Source organism: Homo sapiens, chromosome 9, assembly GCF_000001405.40.
Source record: "Homo sapiens chromosome 9, GRCh38.p14 Primary Assembly".
In the NCBI taxonomy this organism is placed as follows: Eukaryota; Metazoa; Chordata; class Mammalia; order Primates; family Hominidae; genus Homo; species Homo sapiens.
In genome coordinates this window covers 112,027,520-112,048,178 of record NC_000009.12, presented here as the reverse complement: position 1 = coordinate 112,048,178, position 20,659 = coordinate 112,027,520, and the positions used below count along the sequence as shown (strand labels likewise).

Below are 20,659 nucleotides of genomic sequence, written 5' to 3'. Positions count from 1 at the left end.
CACAGGAGCCCTTTAAATCTGGATCTAGAGGTCAGAGATAGGGGAAGTTGGAGCTTCAAAGAATGAGATGGATTTGACATAGGGAAATTCTCCTGCAGCTTGAAGATGGAGGGGTCCACATGGCAAGGAGTGCAGCTTAACAGAAGGAGCTGAGCAAGGCCTGGCTGCAGCCAGTAAGAAAATGGGGACCCTAGTCCTATAACTGCAAGTGTCTTAGTCTGTTTTGTGTTGCTATAACAGAATACTGGAGGCTGGGTAACTTATTAAGAAAAGAGGTTTATTTAGCTCATGAGTCTGTAGGCTGGGAAGTTCAAGAGCATAGTACTGCATCTGGCCTGCTTCTGGTGAGGGCTACATGCTCACCAGAACAATGGTAGAGAAGTGGAAAAGCCAGCAGGTATATACAAAGAGATCATGTGATGACACAGGAAGCAAGAAAGAGTCTAGGAAGTTGACTCATTTTTATAACAACTAGCTCCCTGGTAATACAGCCCCTCCAGAGCAAGAACTCACTCACCTCTGAGAGAGGGCATTAATCTGTTCATGAGGGCTCCAACCCCATGACCCAAATAGTTCCCACTAGGTCCCAACTCCTGACACCACCACATTGAGGATTAAATTTCAAGTGAGTTTCAGAGGATATAAACTCAAACCATAGCAGCAAGGAACTGAATGTAGCCAATAACCTGAATGAGCTTGGAAGCAGCTTCTTCTCCAGAGCCTCCAGAAAGAAGTTCAGTCCACCTGAGACCTTGATTCTAGCCTCGTAAGGCCCTAATACGGTTTTCTTCTATGTACCCACCCAAATCTCATGTCGAATTGTAATCCCCATGTATTGAAGGAGGGGCCTGGTGGGAGATGACTGAATCATGGGAATGAATTACCCCCTTGCTGTTCTCGTGATAGAGTTCTCATGAGATTTGGTTGTTTGAACGTGTGTAGCACTTCCTCCTTTACTCTCTCTCTCTCCTGCTCTGGCCATGTGAAGACTGTGCCTGCTTCCCCTTCACCTTCTGCCTTGATGGTACATTTCTTGGGGCCTCCCTAGCCTTGCCTCCTGTACACCCTGTGGAACTGTGAGTCAATTAAACCTCTTTTCTTTTAAATTACCCAGTCTCAGGTAGTTCTTTATAGCAGTGTGAGAAGGGACTAATACAGGCCCTGAGCAGAGAACCAGCCACAATGTGCCTGAACTTACCACCCACAGAATTCTGAGCTCATAAATGGGTTAAAGCTACCTAAGTTTGTGGTGATTTGTTAAACTGCAATAAAAATGGAATATAACAGTGTTGCTAATGTATCAAGCATTAATCTTTAAATTAATCTTTAAACTTATCTTTAAATTAGTTTTCCACTTTGATTTCCTTTGCCATCTTTGGCTCTGAATGGAATTCAAGTGAGAAGACCCTAGAATAGCAAAGAGAAATTTAACACAGTAAATAGAAGTCACTGTGCTAATTATTATTTTTATTATTATTTACCATTTGGAGAACAGAATTGGTGCTTTCAGGAAGTGACCATGCCCGTGTATATTCATGAAAAAATGTCCACACCCATGGAGCGTCCTCAAGCTGTCACAAAGTCTGAGAGTAGAAATAGGGCCTTTCTAACTTCCTCTTCAGCATGTGATATTTCTATCAGGGAAGGGGTTAAAGATAAGTCCAGCAAGGCCCCATCACTCCTCCTGAGCACTAGCTCTCTTGAGGGAGCCACCATAAAGAGAATGGTGAAGTTTAGTCTTAATGGACTTACTTTCTCCAAGATTGAGTAACTGATGTGGGATATAACACATGAGTGATTCACTTGGGTTTGTAAAAAAATATTCTACAAGTGATTCAGAAGAAAAATAAACATGGTTCTCTGGCATGAGACCATGGAAAGGTAGGGTAACCAAAGGATGGTGAGGCTATAAAAAATACAATTCAAATTTGCCAGTTGTAAATTTTCTTATTAAGGAATTAATGAGGAAAGTCTCTAAAGAAGCTTGTGTGGCAACACTTGTGAGCACTCTTGATTAGATTGACTCAGATTTTTAGAGTATATATGCAAAGTAGACAAAAAGACATATAACCAGGAACTGATCTACCAGCAAGAATCATTCCTGGAGCCAAACCCAAATTGTGCTATGCAGAATAAATAAAGATCATTTTCCAATACTATGTCTAGAGTAAGGAATAGTTGTGCCCAGGTAGATCCTGCTGGTGGATGGTCAAGTGAAAGTCAGCTTCCTTAACTCCTACTTAGCTTTTGTCCTCTTCGTTTGTGAGGGGATAGTTAGAAGAAAGAAAAGAGCTTGCTACCCTACATAGGTTCAAGTCTTCCAACATGGATGTAGCGTATTCTGGCAGGTTCATACAATTTTCACATGAGATGGATAAACCATTGCAAATGATCTTCAATAAACCTTGAAGAAAATGGAGAGATGTAAGAGGACTAGAGATGAGCAAAGAACAAGGAACTTTGTACAAAGGAAGAACCACCAGAAGTGTAGATGATGGTAACTTGAAGTCAAGGCAAAGCAAGGTCTTCAAGTGATGGCTTGTGTATCCCTGGTAGAAAAAACAGCAGTTCCCGGGAGTCAGGAGCTTTAAGAGCAGATTAGGTCAGATTGCTTTCCATTTCTTCTTGCACAGAGTCAGTAATTGGTCAGGGAAATATGGCACGCATAATAACAATAATGTCCTTGTGGACAATGTGGGGACATGAGAGCTGTATGTGGGCTTAGAAACAAGCTGAATGGCTATGCACAGTTGATATCAACTCATTAACAATTATTGATGAGTTGAAATCAAACCCAAGAATATGCATGATATGGATTTCTGTCCACAGTCATCTTCAGTTCAACATATTCATCAATCAGTGATTAAAATATACAGAGGGTTAAAGTGTAGAGGAAAAAATACACAGAAAAAAACTTGATGTCAGAAGTTGGAAGGAATACTGGGTAGATCGGATGAAATGCCAGTGCAGTAAAGTACCAGCTCCCCCGTTCATCTCCAGAATTGTATTTTCTCTTAAAAACAAAACAAAACAAAACAAATCTAGTTAATTAGTCCACCAAGATGGCATTTAAAAAAATGTTTCTGAGTCATGCACAAAGATGGCATCTTAATGCCTTAATTTGCATTTTTATTACTTGTAAGAGAGCATTTGCTCAAAGTTTTATTGATCATCTGTAATCATGTTTTTCATGTGATTTACCTTTTCGTAGAATTTTCTCATTTCGCTATTGAGGTATGTCTTTATTAATCTGTAACACTCTCTGTATGTTAACTTCTTGCCCATTATTCTAGATATTTTATCCAGCTTGCCATTTGCCTTTTAATCTTGCTTATGGTAGTTTTTGGTATAAGAAGTGCATGCTTTTTAAAGTGGTTAAATCTCTCATTCTCTTAAGGTTTCTGTGTTAACGAATATGCTTAGAAATTTCTTACCCCCTTTAATATTAGGTAAATATTCACTAACATTTCCTAATCCTTTTAGGTTTCAATTTAAGTCTGTAATCCATCTGGATTTTATTTTGATATATGGTGTAAGCTCTAGTGATCAAAATTATTTGATTCTAAATGGTTAGCCAATTTTCTCAGCACTGGTTATGAAAAATTTATCATTTCCCCAATGATCTGAAACAGTATCAAAACAACAAAAACAATAATAATTAACAATAGCTAACATTTGCTTATTGCTTATTCTGTGCCAGGCACTGTTTCAACCTGTACTAACTCACTGACTTCTCCCACTACCTAGAGGTGGGTAGTATTGCTATCATTCCCATGTTATTACAGCATCCCTCAGTGTGGGGACTGAGACACAGAATGGATGAATAACTTGCACAAAGTCACACAGGCAGTGGTGGTGTTCAGATAAAGACTTGGACATCTGACTCCAGTATTCAAACTTTGAAAGTATTTGATATGCTTGGATTTGTTTCTAGGCTATTTTGTTCCAATGTATTCATTCCTATTCTAATACTGCACTGTTTTACTGTCTTGCAATTCAAGTCACTCTCCTAATATTTTTTCTTTACTAATTCTTCACTTAATCACTGTTTCTCCTTCCATTTTATAATCTAGTTTCTTGGCTGGGCATGGTGGCTCATGCCTATAATTCTAGCACTTTGGGAGGCCAAGATGGGCAGATCGCCTGAGGTCAAGAGTTCGAGACCAGCCTGGCCAACATGGTGAAGCCCTGTCTCTACTAAAATACAAAAACTAGCCGGGCGTGGTGGAGTACACCTGTAGTCCCAGCTACTAGGGAGACTGGGGCAGGAGAATCGCTTGAATCCGGGAGGTGGAGGTTGCAGTGAGCCGAGATCATGCCACTGCACTCCAGCCTGGGTGACAGAGCAAGACTCTGTCTCAAAAAATAATAATAAATAAAAATAAAATAAAACAAAATAAGTAATCTAGCTTCTTAAAGTGTCAAGGCCATTTTTCTTCTATAGACTAAAAGCAACCAAATAATATAAGCCATGTTTTCTAGAAAGGCTCTTGGCAGCATTTTTTGAGAATTAGTAACCGCCCAATGAGTTTTCCTTGCCTGCTGCCTAGACAGAGCTGATTTATCAAGACAGAGGAATTGCAATAAAGAGCTTAATTCACACAGAGCCAACTGTATGGGAGACTGGAGTTTTATTATTACTCAAATCAGTCTCCCTGAAAATTCAGGGATGGGGTTTTTAAGGATTACTTAGTGGGTAGGGGGTAGGGGATGGGGGGGTCAGTGAGTCAGAAGTGCTGATTGGTTGGGTTGGAGATGAAATCACAGAGTCGAAGCTGTCCTCTTGCACTGAGTCAATTTCTGGTTGGGGGCCACAAGATCAGATGAACCAGTTTATGGATCTGGGTGATGCCAGCCGATCCATGGAGTGCAGGGTCTGGAAAATATCTCAAGCACTGATCTTAGGTTTTACAATAGTGATGTTAGCCCTAGGAGCAATTTGAGCAGTTCAGAATCTTGCAGCTTCCAGCTGTAGGACCCCTAAACCATAATTTCTAATCTCATGGCTAATTTGTTAGTCTTGCAAAGGCAGTCTAGTCCCCAGACAGGATGGGGATTTGTTTGGGGAAAGGGCTATTATCGTCTTTGTTTCAAAGTTAAACTATAAACTGAGTTCCTCCCAAAGTTAGTTCAGCCTACGCCCAGGAATGAACAGGGGCAACTTGGAGGTTAGAAGCAAGATGGAGTCAGTCAGGTCAGATCTTTTTCACGGTTATAATTTTCTCGGTTATAATTTTTAAAAAGGCGGTTTCAAGTTCTGCAGGGCTGTTTAACACAAGGTGTATTCTATGGCTGGTTTTACTAGTGCCAGGTACTGTACTGAGTTTCCAATAGAAATGCACTCCTCTTAACCTGGCTGTAAAGACCTGAGTTGTACTTAGCCACTCCCACCTTGGTTCCTTAAGGGAATAATAATAGTACCCAATGTGAAGGCTGGTTAGAAGCCTAAATGAGTGAATATTTGTGAGGTGCTTGGAACAGTGTCTGGCACATAGTAAGTGCTAAGTAAGTGTTTGCAAATTAAAATGAAATTTTTGCTCTAATCTAGAACATGATTCTCTAAGTCAGTCACTTGGCCCACATGTGCAACTCAACTGTGAGTGTTTTTTAGTTTATAATCGGGGATCTCCCTGGAGTTGGCATGTGATGGTCCCCAAATAGAAAGTATGTCTTTCAAAGTACTTTTATCCTCTCAGTAAACCTGCTGACCTGAGCAGGGAAGTATGACCCTTGTTGAGGTATGGAGAAAATGACAGGTGACTCAACAAAGGATATTCCTTTGCTCTATCTGACCATCAGGGCTATCAGTTTTGGAAACCAAATTCAAATAATATCATAATGACTTGTCCCTCCATGCAAAAGAAAACGGCCCATAAAAATCTATCAAATGTAATTGATTGTGAGAGGACCAACAAAAAATGTAACACGTTGCATAGTATTTGTGTGCTCAACAAGATTAGCTGTTTTCTCCCTTGTAACTTTAACATGGTCTGGCTTTACACTTCCTTTTCAGAAATACCTTGTAACTGTAATTTCCTGAGGCTGCATATCCACAGGGCCAACTCAGGGGACACACAGGCATGTTGGGCATTCTTGGGATTCTTTGTTAAATGGGGCCAAGCTCTGGGTTAAAATGGATTGAGCACAGTGGGGTGTGTGCCTCCTGGGAGGTGGTGATGCCGTGCACTCTGGGCTAAGCCTGTGGTTTTGTCCCACAGATTCGTCACTCATGCTGCTGCAGATGGCGGGTGTTGGACTGGGTTCCCTGGCTGTTGTGATCATTCTCACATTCCTCTCCTTCTCAGCGGTGTGGTATGTGAGGGTGTCATTTTTGAGAAATGACTGGAATGGAGGGGAGGATGGGTCAGAGTCACGAAGAACAGCTGGGGATGAGGGGAGTCAAAGGGAGTGTGGGTGGAGGTTGTCCTTGGCTCAGCAGAGCACACTCAGCGGTGAAAGGCATGACTAACCCTGTACCTCCAGGTAGCATGGGGGATGCCTTCCCAGGAAAAGAGCAGGACCAGTGATGGCTGCCCTGGCCACACACAGAGGGGTGGCTGAGCTTCCATGCTGCTCCCCCTCGCCTCCTCCCATGGGTGTGCGTGTGAGCTGTGCATAGAGATGCACAGTGGGAAAACCAAAGTGTGTTCATATTTGTCTCTTTTCTTTTCCTCCTCCATGTCTAGATGGCAGATGGACACTGAGTGGGGAGGATGCACTGCTGCTGGGCAGGTGTTCTGGCAGCTTCTCAGGTGCCCGCACAGAGGCTCCGTGTGACTTCCGTCCAGGGAGCATGTGGGCCTGCAACTTTCTCCATTCCCAGCTGGGCCCCATTCCTGGATTTAAGATGGTGGCTATCCCTGAGGAGTCACCATAAGGAGAAAACTCAGGAATTCTGAGTCTTCCCTGCTACAGGACCAGTTCTGTGCAATGAACTTGAGACTCCTGATGTACACTGTGATATTGACCGAAGGCTACATACAGATCTGTGAATCTTGGCTGGGACTTCCTCTGAGTGATGCCTGAGGGTCAGCTCCTCTAGACATTGACTGCAAGAGAATCTCTGCAACCTCCTATATAAAAGCATTTCTGTTAATTCATTCAGAATCCATTCTTTACAATATGCAGTGAGATGGGCTTAAGTTTGGGCTAGAGTTTGACTTTATGAAGGAGGTCATTGAAAAAGAGAACAGTGACGTAGGCAAATGTTTCAAGCACTTTAGAAACAGTACTTTTCCTATAATTAGTTGATATACTAATGAGAAAATATACTAGCCTGGCCATGCCAATAAGTTTCCTGCTGTGTCTGTTAGGCAGCATTGCTTTGATGCAATTTCTATTGTCCTATATATTCAAAAGTAATGTCTACATTCCAGTAAAAATATCCCGTAATTAAGATTGTTCTTCCCTTGGTTAATTTTTCTGTTACTAAGCGTCTTCTAAAAATGCTCTTTGCCCCCTGTTAGAAACTGAGATTTGGTGGTAGTGTAGTAGCAATGCTTAAAACAGTATTGAGCCCATGGCTAGACTAGAGTCCATGTGTGTTTCAGGGGAGGGGTTGCCATAGAGGGTGACACTTCTTTTATCTAAACTTCAGTAACTATGAATGTTACTCCATTATGAACTATGAAACATTAGATATAAGCGGTGCTGGACCTACTGTGAATATGCTAAGTTGACAGCTGGAGTCTATTTGATTTTACTTTTAAATCATGAATTGGCATTCTTTCCTCTTTTTTTTTTTTTTTTTTTTGAGATGGACTCCCACTCTGTTGCCCAGGCTGGAGGGAAGTGGCGTGATCTCAGCTCACTGCAACCTCTGCCTCCCGGGTTCAAGTGATTCTCCTGCCTCAGCCTCCCATGTAGCTGGGACCACAGGGCCCCCCCACCACGCCCAGGTAATTTTTGTATGTTTAGTAGAGATGGAGTTTCACCATGTTGGCCAGGGTGGTTTCAAACTCCTGATCTCAGTTGATTCGCCCACCTTTGCCTCCCAAAGTGCTGAGATTACAGGTGTGAGCCACACGCCCGGCACTAACTAACAATTTAACTCCAAGACTCAGTAAGAAACGAATGGGGAAGGAAAGACAGAGGCTTCTGGCATCTCTCCTTCTCCCTTGCCTGCTAGGCCTAGAGAAGAAAAACCATGGAGGAGGGGAGGTGATACTGCACAGCCTCAAGATGCAGCATAGACGAATGCAGTCCTTAGCAAAAGGAAAGGGCTTCCCAATGCAGTGGGCCGGTGTGTTCACCGGCTTGCTGGGTGTCAGTGAGGGAAGACTCTGAGTGCCTTGGGCTTATGGGCAGATGAAGAGACAAGAGGAACAAGTACAAACTGCCCATGTAGCTGCTCCACCCCAGGGAGTCCAGAGTGTATCCGCTCTATTGGGAAGAATTAGAGAGAGGCGAGTAATATCCTGACATTCAGGTGTTCAATGCCAGCTGTCAGCCTCTGGCCCCTGCCAGTGTTAGGAATGATTCCCCTGTCCTCTGGGGTACTGCCCTCCGACGACAACTTAGGATCAGCATTTAAAACCCTTTCTGCTCTCGTCTTAGGTAAATTATAGACCAGAACGGGTCTATAATGGGGACAGGTCCCCATCCTAACCCCCAGAGACCGTTTCTCTCAATAGATGAATACAAATAGCTCTCAATTTTTAATTTTTATGTGCAATAATGCAAACATACTTTTTTTTTTTTTTGAGACGGAGTCTCACTCTTTCTCCCAGGCGGGAGTGTAGTGGCGCTATCTCGACTCACTGCAAGCTCCGCCTCCCGGGTTCACGCCATTCTCCTGCCTCAGCCTCTGGAGTAGCTGGGACTACAGGTATCCGCCACCGTGCCCAGCTAATTTTTTGTATTTTTAGTAGAGATGGGGTTTCACCGTGTTAGCCAGGATGGTCTCGATCTCATGACCTCGTGATCCACCCGCCTTGGCCTCCCAAAGTGCTGGTATTACAGGCATGAACCACCACGCCTGGCCGCAAACATACATTTTTATAGCTCCTGAACTAAATTGGGTATCAATACAAATTACTGTGGTTAGTGTAGGGCTCGGCCTCTGATGAGTGAGGATCTTTCCTCAAAGCCCACCTTTGTCCAAAGAAAGAATCTGAGCCTCCCCTTGACTTATTTTATTTTTTGCCAGTTTTGTAAATGCTGTATGCTTCCATACTACCCCCTTCCCTAATTTCCACCTCTAGAATTAACTGCCAGAGATACAGTTGTCCACATGGAATGTAGTATAATTGTGATAGAAAGGAAGAAATCCCCCTTGCTTAGTATTAAAAGTTTCTGGTTAAAATAACTGACTAAATATTAAGTAAAACATCACCTTCTGGGTACAATGCAGAAAAGTAAAAGCAGTTCATATAAGATTACTAAACTTTGGGAGGTCTTCAAGACCAGCCCTGGCAACATAGCGAGACCCCATGTCTGCAAAAAAAGTTTTAAAAATTAGCCGGGCATGGTGGCGTGCACTTGTAGTCCCAGCTACTCAGGAGGCTGAGGCAGGAGGATCGCTTGAGCCCAGGAGTCTGAGGTTGCAGTGAGCCGTGGTGACACCACTGCACTCCCGCCTGGGTGACAGAGTGAGATCCAAAAAAATTTACTGAAATAACAAAAACGTGGACTTTGGGATTTCCTCTAACTGCTGCAAATTATAACACAGAATTGCTCAGTGTTAATACTTGAATTGTGGGGCCAAGTCTTCTGGCTGCCCTAGTTCTCTTTTCTGGCATTTGAAAGCCCTTGAGCTAGCTATGGAGCTAATCTTTGGACAGGCTTTTTGGTTCCCAGGAATGTCATGCCTTTGAATTTCCAATCTATATATATACAGTGTGTGTGTATGTATACCTGTCTTTTCACTGTAAGGCACCTCCACCCATCCCTTATAGAAGGAGCCACAAACAATCAAGCAAATGGATGGAGGTTAATTAAGGGGAAGAGGAAATAGTCTGTTCTCTGACTCGAGACCTGAAATTGCAGTGGGGCACGTAAGGTAAGACCAGAGCAGAAGTGATTATCTTGAAATTCCACTTTAGCTTGGAATAAAATTAATATTTAAATTGATTTTAAAGGAAATAAAAAAGAACATTCAGTGTTCCCTTTTCATTGCTAATCTCACATTTTCTGATTTTCTAAACCTTTTGTTTTCCCATTCTTTTCTTCTAAGAGGAACTCAATGGTCTCATAGAAGTCAATCAAATAGCGTTGTAAGAACCTTTTACCTACCACATCCTTTGTTGGTTAGACTGAACCAACAAAGCAGTGCCTGCTTCTGGGGAGGAAGGATGTGGCCTTTTCTGTGCCCCAGTTTGTGGGAGGGTGAGTCCATGAAGCAAGTCAATTTAAAAGGCAGTGTGTGCTCTTGTTTCAGAGAGAGTGAATCCTTTGGGTGGTGGTGGTGGAGTATGTGTGTGTGTGTGGTGGGTGGGGGGTGGGGCATGCACATCTAGATCCATACTTTTTGGGCTCAACTCAGGGTTACCAAAATAGAGTCAAACTCAACTCAGGATTACCTAAATGGAGTCAAATTTTGTGTGTGGTTTTGTAACATGATTCTTTCAGTCATCATTTCCAGGCCACATTTTTCATGTCACTCATGACTGCATTATAAGTTTGTACCATAATTCATTTAACCAATACTCTGTTGTGCATTTAGAATATTTTCAGATGTTTATTGTCCTTATAAAAGTCAGTATGAAGGTATGCAATTATCACTTAGGCCACATTCCTGGAAGTAAAATTGTTGGAATGGAAACTATGTACATTTTACAGTGCAGATTGCTGGAAGAGTTTTATGCAAAAACTTATACAAAAATTTACACTCTTACCAGCAGAAAGCCTCAGCGCCACTGAGTGCTGTTGTATTGTTAATCTTGATTAATCTGGTATGTGAAGAAGGATGTTTCAATGTTTTGTCTGTGTCTCTCTGATTATTTTGCTTGTTGATTGGCCAGTTGTTAATTCTGTCTTTGTGAGTTGTCTTTTTCTCAGTACTTGGCCTATTTGTCTTTGATTTGAAAAAGCTCTTTATGTTGTAGTCATTTTAATTCCTGTCATATGTTTTGTAAACAATTTTTCGAGTTCATAATTTTTCAATCTTGTTTGTATTATATTTTGCCACACAAAAATTTTAAATTTGTATAGTCAAATTTATCAGTCTTTTTCCTTATGTTGGACCTTCTAATCTCAAGGTACTAAATATAATCTAGCATTTTTTTAAACATTAAAAATTTTTAATCCATCTATAATTTATTTTAGGATAGGGAGTGAGGCAGGGGAAGGTATCTTTTTAAATAAAAATCGTTGCTAAATGGTTGGCTAGTTGTCCTATTAATAGTCATTGAGACCAGGAGCGGTGGTTCACCCCTGTAATCCCAGCACTGTGGGAGGCTGAGGTGGGAGGATCACTTGAGGTCAGGAGTTCGAGACTAGCCTGGGCAACATGGCGACACACAATCTTTACAAAAAATAAGAATTAACAGAGGCCAGGCTCAGTGGCTCACGCCTGTAACCTTTGGGAGGCCAAGGTGGGTGGATCACTTGAGGCCATGTGTTCAAGACCAGCCTGGCCAACATGGTGAAACCCTGTCTTTACTAAAAATACAAAAATTAGCCAGGCGTGGTGGTGTGCACATGTAGTCCTAGCTACTTGGGAGGCTGAAGTGGGAGGACCCCTTGAACAGGGGAGGTTGAGGCTGCAGTGAGCCATGGTCATGCCCTGTACTCCAGCTGGGTGACAGAGCAAGACCCTGTTTCCAAAAAAAAAAAAAAAAATTCATTGACTGTTTTTTTCTGTTAGTGATTTGAAATCATATACTGAATCATATGCTGAAGTCTATTTCTGAACTTCTTCTTTTGTTCTACTGATCTATTTCTGTGCCAATACCACCTACTGTAACTTTAAAATAGGTTTTTGTTTATACCAAGTAAGAATAAGTTACCATTATTTTTCCATTAATTTTTTTTTTTTTTTTTGAGACAAGGTCTCACTCTGTCACTCTGTTGCCCAGGCTGGAGTGCAGTGGCATGATCTCAGCTCACTGTAACCTCTGCCTCCCTGCTTCAAGCTATTCTCCCACCTCATCCTCCCGAGTAACTGGGACTACAGATGCGTGCCACCACACCTGACTAATCTTTATATTTTTAGTAGAGAGGGGGGTTTCACCGTGTTGGCCAGGCTAGTCTCGAGCTCGTGACCTCACGTGATCCTCCCGTCTCCGCCTCCCAAAGTGCTGGAATTACTGGCATGAGCCACCGAGGCTGGCCTGAGTATTCTAGTTTATAACTTACAAGGTCATTCATATGTATATGTTGTTGTGCTTGTCTAGCTATTTTATATTTTGTTATTCTGAACTCTTGGCCTCTATCTCAGCTCCAGCCCCTGAAAGTGCAGGAGTGCTTTTGCTCTGCCAGTCGGCCTTTTTTGGGAAATCATATCAAGATGGCTTTTCCAGCACAATTACTTCCTAGAGTGTCTGCTTGATGCATGGAAACTCATAGATTTTTGGCATGCCAAACAGAGGGTTTTCCTGCCGTCACTGCTGGCTCCAGCCACAGACTTCAGTTTTCTTACCTGTTAGAGCCTTTGTCCTCTGACTGGTGGAAATGGAGCTTGCTTCTTTTTGTTTTGCCTGCCACTAGTCTGGCAGCCTCCACCTCTTGACCCTTGGGTTTCTTATCCTTGGAATCAGATACGAGGCCCTGTGTCTTCTGTTGCTGTAGAGGACACAAGTCATATTCTCTGAGTGGAGATCTCTCTGAAGCTCCTCTTTCCAGGCTTGTACTGAGGGACCTCTGGACCCTCTACCACGTGGTGTCAAAGCTGCCAAGAGCTGTCATATGCTGGGTCTGTAAATTGACTTTCTCACCTCTGACCAGATGCATTCACTTGAGCGGCACAGAGATTTGGGGGAGTGAAAGGGCACTGTTTCTTTGGGTCCGTGGGCTTGTGTCCCATCCCCTAGCCTTGGGGTTAGCAGGATTCAGAATTTATGAGTGTGGTCTGCAAAAGTCTACCTCTACCAGATGGGGGAGAACCTAGTGTGTGGACCTGAAGGGTTAGCTCTGTGCTTTAGTCCCTGGGAGTGGCCATCTTGAGTCTTGGTGGGCTTGGCAAGTAAGGAGACATTGACCAGATTCAAAGCTTCCAGAGGTGGTGAGAACTCCAGGGCCGAGTAATGGAGAGTACAAAGGTCCTTCTTGGCCCCCATGACCCTTCCAAGCCAAGAACTTGGCAGTAGCTGTGAGAAGCAGAGATAGGGAGAGGAGGTGAGGGGCACCTATAGCTCTTAGCCATGAGTTATGACTCCCTCCATCCAAGGGAGACCCAAGGACATGAAAGGGGACTCAGTTCCAAGGATCAGAGGGAACTTGGGTTGTTTTGGGATAATGACTGTGGCTTGGGATGTCACGGAGATGAACACCAGAATTGGTGTGCAACAGATGAGCTCCAGTACCCCTGATAGTTTGCATGGGTTTTGCTCTGCTGATGATGGTCAGGGACAGCAGTGAGGCCCTCTACAATGCCGCCTTCTGCCTAAACACAGGCAGTGCCCACAAAAGGGGAGCTGTCATTATGGAGCCTAGGAATGGATAGTCAGAGAGCAGCGGCTGGGCAGTGCAACTCCTGCATTGGACAAGGTCCTGGCTAGAGAATGTCAATGTCCACACTGCATGTAGCCCTATCGAGGAGATGATGTAGGGGGCTGTCAGCCTTGGAGACTCTAGCCTAAGTACCCCACCACCACTCTGGCTGGCTTCCAAGGGCACAAATCAGCTTTCTGAATCTGACTTGGCTTCCTGTGATCTGCATTCATGAACATTCTTACTAGAGTTCTCATGGAAAATGAATACACAACTATTTGGTCTGAATGTGTCTGAGTTTGGTGTCTCCAAAACAATTCTCTGGATTAGATGGAGAATGAAGAAACTTCACAAAGGCAAAAGGACAGGTCCCCATCTCGACCCCCAGAGACCACTTCTCAGAGTCTCTATCTGTTCGTCTCTGGTGTTAGCCACGTTCCTTTACTTTCCCTCATTTCTGTGGCCACTCCTGTGGCTTCCTCTCTTTCAACCTGCAGGCTGCTGCTGCCCTGCCTCAGACCCTTGTAGGCTTCTGTAGAGATGCTACTCAGATGGGGGTGGAGCTAGATGCAGAGCTGAAACCCACCTAGGAGATCTAGCTTGGAGAGCTTGTGAATCTTAGGAGAGCTAGGCATAGAATGACTAAAGTTTGTCACCGCATGAGATAAAATAAATGAAAAGCCACTTCTGGAGGGAATGAGGCAGTCTGCCTTTATTGGAGAGATACATATTGTTGAACAGCTCTGGGCAGTTGATTGTGTGCCTGGGAGAGCTAACCATGTTTACTCTACACTTGACCTGTGATGGTCTGTATTGATTGTATCACACGCTTAGCTTTCTAAGGCTAACCAGGTCATCGTCCTCAGTCCCTGCCTGCAACTAGGTTGCCAACTGGCCCTTGATTTCCCACCCAACTTGTTCAGTTTGCCCTCAATCCTGGGGCCTCACTAATTTCCCAAAAAGATATGGTTGGTACCACCTGTAGTTTGCTGTTGCATGTTAACCTGACTTTTGGGAAACTCAAATAAACACTTTTCAAACGCATTGACCATTTTTACTCTATGACTTCTGCTTTGCATGATCGCTAGCTTGGTCACCCATCATGCTGCTTTCTGGTGAGCTGAAAGGAAAATAAATGGTCTAAATTGAGCAACAAGAAAGTAAACTTTTAAGCAGGTACTTTCCAAGTGAAATGAGAACCGGAGATTGGGTCCAAAAGAGAGGATGCCCAGCCAGACTGAACTTTCAAGTGTTTTCCAACTGGAAAGCTCCAATGTCCTCTGATCTCAGTGAATTTCCAATCTAATTTCAAGGAAGTCCCTCAGGAGCCCCATTGCAAGGGTGGTTATAGAACCATTTACAACTGCTTTAATAAAACTAATGCTTATAAAGAAAGAAAACTTGTTTTTTAGTCATCCATAACACAAAAAAGTGAGGTTTGATGCACAGTAAAAGGAATCATTATTTAAGTTAGTCTGAGTTATATTGTATTTTGGAAATGCTCCACATTCAATATTTATGCCACATACTCTAAAACCAAAGTATGTAGATTAAAAAAAAACTATTTCCAGAAATAAGCTTGCTGAATCACCACAGGCTTAATTTATTTATTTTAACTACCAGTTTCCTGAATGTTTTTGTCTAATTGGCCTATCTGCAGTTGCCCTTGGTCCACCCTTGAGCCCACTCTTTAAGCCTGTCTGTCACTTAGAGAAGTACAAGTACTTCCTGCTGAGAATAAAGCCTTGATCGCAATTTCAGTGAATTATCAGGGAAGTGTGAGAATAAGTAGGAATAAATGTCTAAACATTTGGGAAAAACTTGTTTGCAATAAATGTGGTTAACAGAGAGTGAATAGGCTTACTACATAAAATTGTTACTCATCAATTAAAAAAACTGTACAATCCTCCTCCGGGGGAAAATGATCAGATATTTTAAGTCTGCTGATATTTTTCTCTGGATGTCAGACCTGTATACTTTGTCCTGCATTATTGGAGTATAATTGGCAAATAAAAGTTTTATGTATTTAAGGCATACAATGTGATGATATGATACACCTATACACTGTGACATGATTACCTCAATCAAGCTAATTAACACATCCATCACCTCACCTTTTTTGTGTGTGGTGAGAACACTTAGATTTACTCCTATAGCCCATTTCAGGTATACATTATTAACTCTAGTCACCATGCTATACATTAGATCTCCAAAACTTATTCATCTTGTAACTGAAAGTTTGTACTCTTTGACCAACATTCGCCATTCCTCCCCAACCCCTAACTTTGGTAACCACCCTTTTGCTCTCTGTTTCTATGAGTTCTTCTGTTTCGGTTCCACCTGCAAGTGAGATCATGCAGTGTTTGCCTTTGCCTTTCTGTGTCTGGCTTATTTCACTTAGCATTATGTCCTCTAGGTTCATGCATGTTGTTGCAAATGACAGGGATTTCCTCCTCTGCCTCTTCTTCCTTCTTCCTCCTCCTTCTCCTTCTCCTTCCCCTTCTTCTTCCCCTTCTTCCCCTTCTTTCTGTTTTTGCTTTGTTTTGTGTTTGTTTTTGAGATAAGGCTGGTCTTGAACTCCTGGGCTCAAGCAATCCTCCTGCCTCAGCCTACCAACTAGCTGGGGCTGGGTCTGCACGCATGCACCACCATGCCTAGCCGCCTTCATTTTTGGCTGAATGATATTCATGTGTGTGTATGAATATTTTCTTTATCCATTCATTTGTCTACAGGCACTCAGGTTGATACCGTGTCTTGGCTATTGTGAACGACTGTGTAATACATATGGGAGTGCAGATAACCTCTTCCACATACTGATTTTATTTCTTTTGGGTATATACCCAGAAGTGGGGTTGCTGGATCATACCGTAGTTCTATTTTTAATTTTTTGAGGAACTACCATACTGTTTTTCGTAGTGGCTGTACCCACTTACATTCCCACCAACAGTGTGCAAGGGTTTCATTTCTCCATATCTTCATCAACACTTGTTATCTTTTGACTTTTTGTTAATAGCCATTCTAACGGATGTGAAGTGAAAGCTCATTGTGGTTTTGATTTGCATTTCCCTGATGATTAGTGATGTCATACACCTTTTCATATACCTGTTGGTCACTTATATATCTTCTTTGAAAAAAATCTATTCAGGTTCTTTGCCCATTTTTAAAAAATCAGGTAACTTGCTTTTTTTTTTGCTGTTGAGTGGTATTAGTTCCTTACATATAATATTTTGGATATTAACTTTTTATTGATATATGGTTTAAAAATATTTTTTCCCATTCTATAGATTGCTTTTTTATTTTGTTGATTGTTTCCTTTGCTCTGCAGAAACTTTTAGTTTGATATAATCCCATTTGTCTTTTCTTGCTTTTGCTGTCTGGGCTTCTGCTGTCACACCTGTATTTTTGTTTTTGTTTTTGTACCAGAGAAAGTGAAGCAACAAATGAGGAACATGAGAACACTGGAGTAGAAAGCTGGGTGGGCATCAGACAGCTGACCAAAATTTTCACTATCAAAATGGCAGGTGAGATTTTTTTTTATATACTAGTTATCACAACATCTTCAACCTTTTCTTTTTTTTTTGAGACCGAGTCTTGCTCTGTTGCCCAGGTTGGAGTGCAATGGTGTGATCTTGGCTCACCACAACCTCCACCTCCCGGGTTCAAGCGATTCTCCTGCCTCAGCCTCTCAAGTAGCTGGGATTACAGGCATGCACCATCATGCCTGGCTAATTTTTGTATTTTTAGTAGAGACGGGGTTTCACCATTTTGGCCAGGCTGGTCTCAAACTCCAGACCTCAGGTGGTTCCCCCGCCTCGGCCTCTCAAAGTGCTGGGATTACAGGCATGAGCCACCACGCCTGTCCTATGTATCTTCAACTTTTCTATTACCAAGTACTAATTTTGTCTTTTCTTGAGTAATACTCCTGTTCTCTAATTGATGGCTTCTAATTGATCCCATCTATTTAGTCATATTTCTTAAACTCAAAGGAGAACTAGATGTGTATTCTCTATATTGAGTGTATCCAGGAAGCCTCCCAGTATGGTTTCAAAGGAGTGAGACTGGAAGCATAAAATTCAGTCCTTCCTGTTGTTAATGTAGCATTATTTATTAGCAGATTGGACCTCTGACAGAAATAAACTGATATCATTTGCTTTAATTTTGATGCTGAATTTCCCCTGTGATTGAGAAATCAGTTTAACCTTCATTTCACAACATCCAGCAACACCTTACCCAGCTCCTTCAGTGATGGAGTTTTTATACTACACAGTGGTTCAGAGTGACAAGCATAACAACAGAGTGATTAAGTACAAGAGGCCAGCAAGGGCCACACAGGTGAAGTCTGAGCTGGCCTCAAAGGGTTAGTAGGGTTTTTTTTCAGGCAGAGACGACTAGGAGGGAAATTCCAGGAATGGGGTGTGTGTGTGTAAGAATGTAAACAAAGGCATGAAACAGCACAAAGAACAACATTAAAGATTGAAATAGAGGGACTAGAGAGGAAGGTTCTAATGAAAAGGAGATGTTATCAAAATAAAAATAAAGAATTTGACAGTGCATTGGATTGGCTGACTGTTGGGGGGCGGTGCAAGGAAGTGGGTAAAGGAAGGGGACAATTTGCTTATGAAGTCTTTCAAAACAACATTTAAAAAAACATCTTCTAGACAAACCGTAACTCTAATGAGACTTCCCCAAAACATACTAGATATTCAACGGAATTATAGTTGTCCTTCTAAGTAGTTTCTTTGAAAGACTAAATGCATATTCCAGTGACACTATTAGTATTAACATTTTTTTTTTCAGAAGTTACCTTTGGGAATTGCCTTCGGAGTGTTTATGAGCTGCAAAAGAACATCAATTAGTCTTATTACTTTACAGTTTTCTCTGTCTATGTAGGGTAAAAACATTATATATCCATATAAAATATATATCATTAAAACTTAGCCTGTTGGACATTTCTTTTTTTATTTTTAATTGTAACTTTTGTGGGTACATGGTGTACATATTCATGGAATGCATGAGATGTTTTGATACAGGTGTGCAATGTGTGATAATCACAACATGGAGAATGGGGTATCTATCCCCTCAAGCATTTATACTTTGTATTATAAACAATCCAATTATACTCTTTTAGTTATTTTTTAATGTACGATTCAATTATGATTGACTATAGTCACCCTGTTGTGCTATCAAATACTAGGTCTTATTCAGTCTTTCTAAATTTTTGGTACCCATTAACCATTCCCACCCCTCTGCCCTTCCACCACTCTTTCCAGCCAGTTGGACATTTCTTTTATAAACTGAAGTATGTGGCGAATGACTTTTAACCATTTCCGAAAATCAAACACGATGTAAAAATATTACACTTGTGGACTCAGAATACCAAAAATATGTGTTTCCAGCCCTGATGGCAATCTTCAAAGAGGGATTGCAGCATACCTGGAGTAGCCACAGCACCGTTGTCAGCACTGAGCCCACACAAGTGACTGTTGACACAGGGACCGTATTCTGTGTATATCTATGTTCTGAGAATATTTTGTTGTTGTGGTGGTGGTTGGAAAAGCTTTTATATGACAGTTTATGGCTCACAGTGGTGTCTGGCTGGTGGCCTTCAATGCAATGACTCATAAGAACCTCTCCTTCAGTCACCCTTGAAGACCCAACAAAGCTGGGGAAAGGAGGGGAATTTCCCGATACCATTGACAATGAAGATGGACAAGCTAACGGCAGAACCTCAGAAGGATCTGACTTCAGATATGCACGCAGCGTACCCTGGCTTCATTTCACAAAAACAGTACCCTTTTGCAAAGGGAGGAAGTGACTTTCTCATGACCCGAACCAGAAAATAGGCAGCCACGGGACTCTATGCACTGATTCCACCTTGGGGAGCAGGCAGAACATGTCCCCTTTGTGACCACGTTCACTGGCATCTTTCTGGATCCAGATAGAGTGCAAAACTTAGAAACAGCTGAGTGGTACGCAGAGGGGGTACAGGTACAGATCATACCGTGCAGGCAGGTATGACCCTACAATAAACTGCCCAAGATATGTGTTGTATATGTGTTGTGTGTATTTGAGTTGAGTGCATTGGGTGCATGTTTGTATATACATGTGTGTGCGTATGTGTGTGTGTGGTGTGTATGTGGTGTGTGTGTGAGAGCTGAGTGCATTGTGTCTATGTTTGTGTGTACATTTGTGTGTGTTGTGTGTGGGGGGTGTGTGTGTGAAGGGCACTGGCCCTTACTCCTGGTAAGAGTGAGTAATAGCAACTGCCATTGGTTATACCTCCTTCCTTCAACTTCAGAGTATGGGAGAGTAGTTCAGTAGAGACAGGAGAAAACGTTTCCTCAGCTGAAGACCTATACTTTTTTATTTGGGAAGGGGGTGATTTATTCTAAATAACTACACAACTCTTTTTATATTAGGGAAGCCACAAGCTGCTTGTTATCTATATTGCACATATTTCTCCATATTTGCTCTTTGTCTTGCAACTTTATTTATAAGACTTTTGCTTGTTTTTGCCATGGGAAAGTTTTCATTGTTACTTAGTCCAGGTTACTGATCTTTTGTTTGTGATTACTGAATTTCATGATGTGCTCAGAAAGACTTTCCACCCAAGATTTAAAAATATTTATCCATTTCTTTCCTAGCTCTCATGCAATTTTAGCCGTACTTTAAAACATTTGTTGCATTTGGAATGTATTTGGTGTAATGAATGAAACAAGAACCCGCATTGTATTTAAAACATTTCACACCAATCTGTATTTTTTCTTAATACCATTCATCATAATTATAATAGCACAATTATTTATATGATTATCTTTACCCAATCACCATTGAGATGCCACCTTTGTATCATGCATTTAAATATTTTTTAAAATGCTCCAGGGTGGGGCGCGGTGGCTCACGCCTTTAATCCCAGCACTTTGGGAGGCCGAGGCTGACGGATCACGATGTGAGGAGATTGAGACCATCCTGGCTAACACAGTGAAACCCCGTCTGTACTAAAAATACAAAAAATTAGCTGGATGTGGTGGCGGGCACCTGTAGTCCCAGCTACTCAGGAGGCTGAGGC

General features: G+C 42.1%; 1 protein-coding gene and 1 long non-coding RNA gene across 14 annotated transcripts in view, besides 12 other annotated features; both read left to right on the top strand.

Moving 5' to 3' along the window:
• Positions 1-7,396, top strand: part of SUSD1 (sushi domain containing 1) — a 134,515-nt gene extending 127,119 nt beyond the window's left edge. For 5 of the 13 annotated variants that reach the window (XM_047423727.1, NM_001282643.2, NM_022486.5 and 2 more), the window contains 2 exons: positions 6,219-6,312; positions 6,687-7,396. In XM_047423727.1, coding sequence (XP_047279683.1) covers positions 6,219-6,312; position 6,687 — 95 coding nt within the window. In that variant the 3' untranslated portion in view covers positions 6,688-7,396. Of the gene's footprint in view, positions 1-6,013; positions 6,079-6,218; positions 6,313-6,686 lie in introns of those variants that run through there. The other 8 variants (XM_047423728.1, XM_047423725.1, XM_047423724.1 and 5 more) reach the window with 6 other exon arrangements.
• Positions 5,548-5,617: an enhancer, noted in NCBI's record as "active region_28817". NCBI's record gives its function as "activates an Ori minimal core promoter by ATAC-STARR-seq in GM12878 lymphoblastoid cells {active_cell/tissue: GM12878}" and the evidence as "EXISTENCE:reporter gene assay evidence [ECO:0000049][PMID:35858748]".
• Positions 5,708-5,757: an enhancer, noted in NCBI's record as "active region_28816". NCBI's record gives its function as "activates an Ori minimal core promoter by ATAC-STARR-seq in GM12878 lymphoblastoid cells {active_cell/tissue: GM12878}" and the evidence as "EXISTENCE:reporter gene assay evidence [ECO:0000049][PMID:35858748]".
• Positions 5,869-6,507: an enhancer, noted in NCBI's record as "NANOG-H3K27ac-H3K4me1 hESC enhancer chr9:114803952-114804590 (GRCh37/hg19 assembly coordinates)". NCBI's record gives its function as "activates a minimal SCP1, AML or CMV promoter by ChIP-STARR-seq in naive H9 embryonic stem cells {active_cell/tissue: H9 hESC(naive)}" and the evidence as "EXISTENCE:reporter gene assay evidence [ECO:0000049][PMID:30033119]".
• Positions 5,869-7,147: a biological region, named in NCBI's record as "P300/CBP strongly-dependent group 1 enhancer GRCh37_chr9:114803347-114804546".
• Positions 5,913-7,112: an enhancer, noted in NCBI's record as "P300/CBP strongly-dependent group 1 enhancer chr9:114803347-114804546 (GRCh37/hg19 assembly coordinates)". NCBI's record gives its function as "activates an origin of replication core promoter dependent on BRD2, BRD4, P300/CBP, MED14 and CDK7 cofactors, with strong dependence on P300/CBP, by STARR-seq in HCT116 cells {active_cell/tissue: HCT116}" and the evidence as "EXISTENCE:reporter gene assay evidence [ECO:0000049][PMID:35650434]".
• Positions 6,508-7,147: an enhancer, noted in NCBI's record as "H3K27ac-H3K4me1 hESC enhancer chr9:114803312-114803951 (GRCh37/hg19 assembly coordinates)". NCBI's record gives its function as "activates a minimal SCP1, AML or CMV promoter by ChIP-STARR-seq in naive H9 embryonic stem cells {active_cell/tissue: H9 hESC(naive)}" and the evidence as "EXISTENCE:reporter gene assay evidence [ECO:0000049][PMID:30033119]".
• A 358-nt stretch (positions 7,397-7,754) lies between the features above and the next one.
• LINC02977 (long intergenic non-protein coding RNA 2977) lies at positions 7,755-19,641 on the top strand. The gene is made up of 3 exons (NR_186812.1): positions 7,755-10,000; positions 17,014-17,111; positions 18,388-19,641. It is a non-coding gene; the product is annotated as a long intergenic non-protein coding RNA 2977 (long non-coding RNA).
• Positions 12,184-12,283: an enhancer, noted in NCBI's record as "active region_28815". NCBI's record gives its function as "activates an Ori minimal core promoter by ATAC-STARR-seq in GM12878 lymphoblastoid cells {active_cell/tissue: GM12878}" and the evidence as "EXISTENCE:reporter gene assay evidence [ECO:0000049][PMID:35858748]".
• Positions 13,854-13,943: an enhancer, noted in NCBI's record as "active region_28814". NCBI's record gives its function as "activates an Ori minimal core promoter by ATAC-STARR-seq in GM12878 lymphoblastoid cells {active_cell/tissue: GM12878}" and the evidence as "EXISTENCE:reporter gene assay evidence [ECO:0000049][PMID:35858748]".
• Positions 15,604-15,893: an enhancer, noted in NCBI's record as "active region_28813". NCBI's record gives its function as "activates an Ori minimal core promoter by ATAC-STARR-seq in GM12878 lymphoblastoid cells {active_cell/tissue: GM12878}" and the evidence as "EXISTENCE:reporter gene assay evidence [ECO:0000049][PMID:35858748]".
• Positions 16,024-16,113: an enhancer, noted in NCBI's record as "active region_28812". NCBI's record gives its function as "activates an Ori minimal core promoter by ATAC-STARR-seq in GM12878 lymphoblastoid cells {active_cell/tissue: GM12878}" and the evidence as "EXISTENCE:reporter gene assay evidence [ECO:0000049][PMID:35858748]".
• Positions 18,877-19,006: an enhancer, noted in NCBI's record as "active region_28811". NCBI's record gives its function as "activates an Ori minimal core promoter by ATAC-STARR-seq in GM12878 lymphoblastoid cells {active_cell/tissue: GM12878}" and the evidence as "EXISTENCE:reporter gene assay evidence [ECO:0000049][PMID:35858748]".
• Positions 19,317-19,366: an enhancer, noted in NCBI's record as "active region_28810". NCBI's record gives its function as "activates an Ori minimal core promoter by ATAC-STARR-seq in GM12878 lymphoblastoid cells {active_cell/tissue: GM12878}" and the evidence as "EXISTENCE:reporter gene assay evidence [ECO:0000049][PMID:35858748]".
• Positions 19,642-20,659: the final 1,018 nt, after the last annotated feature.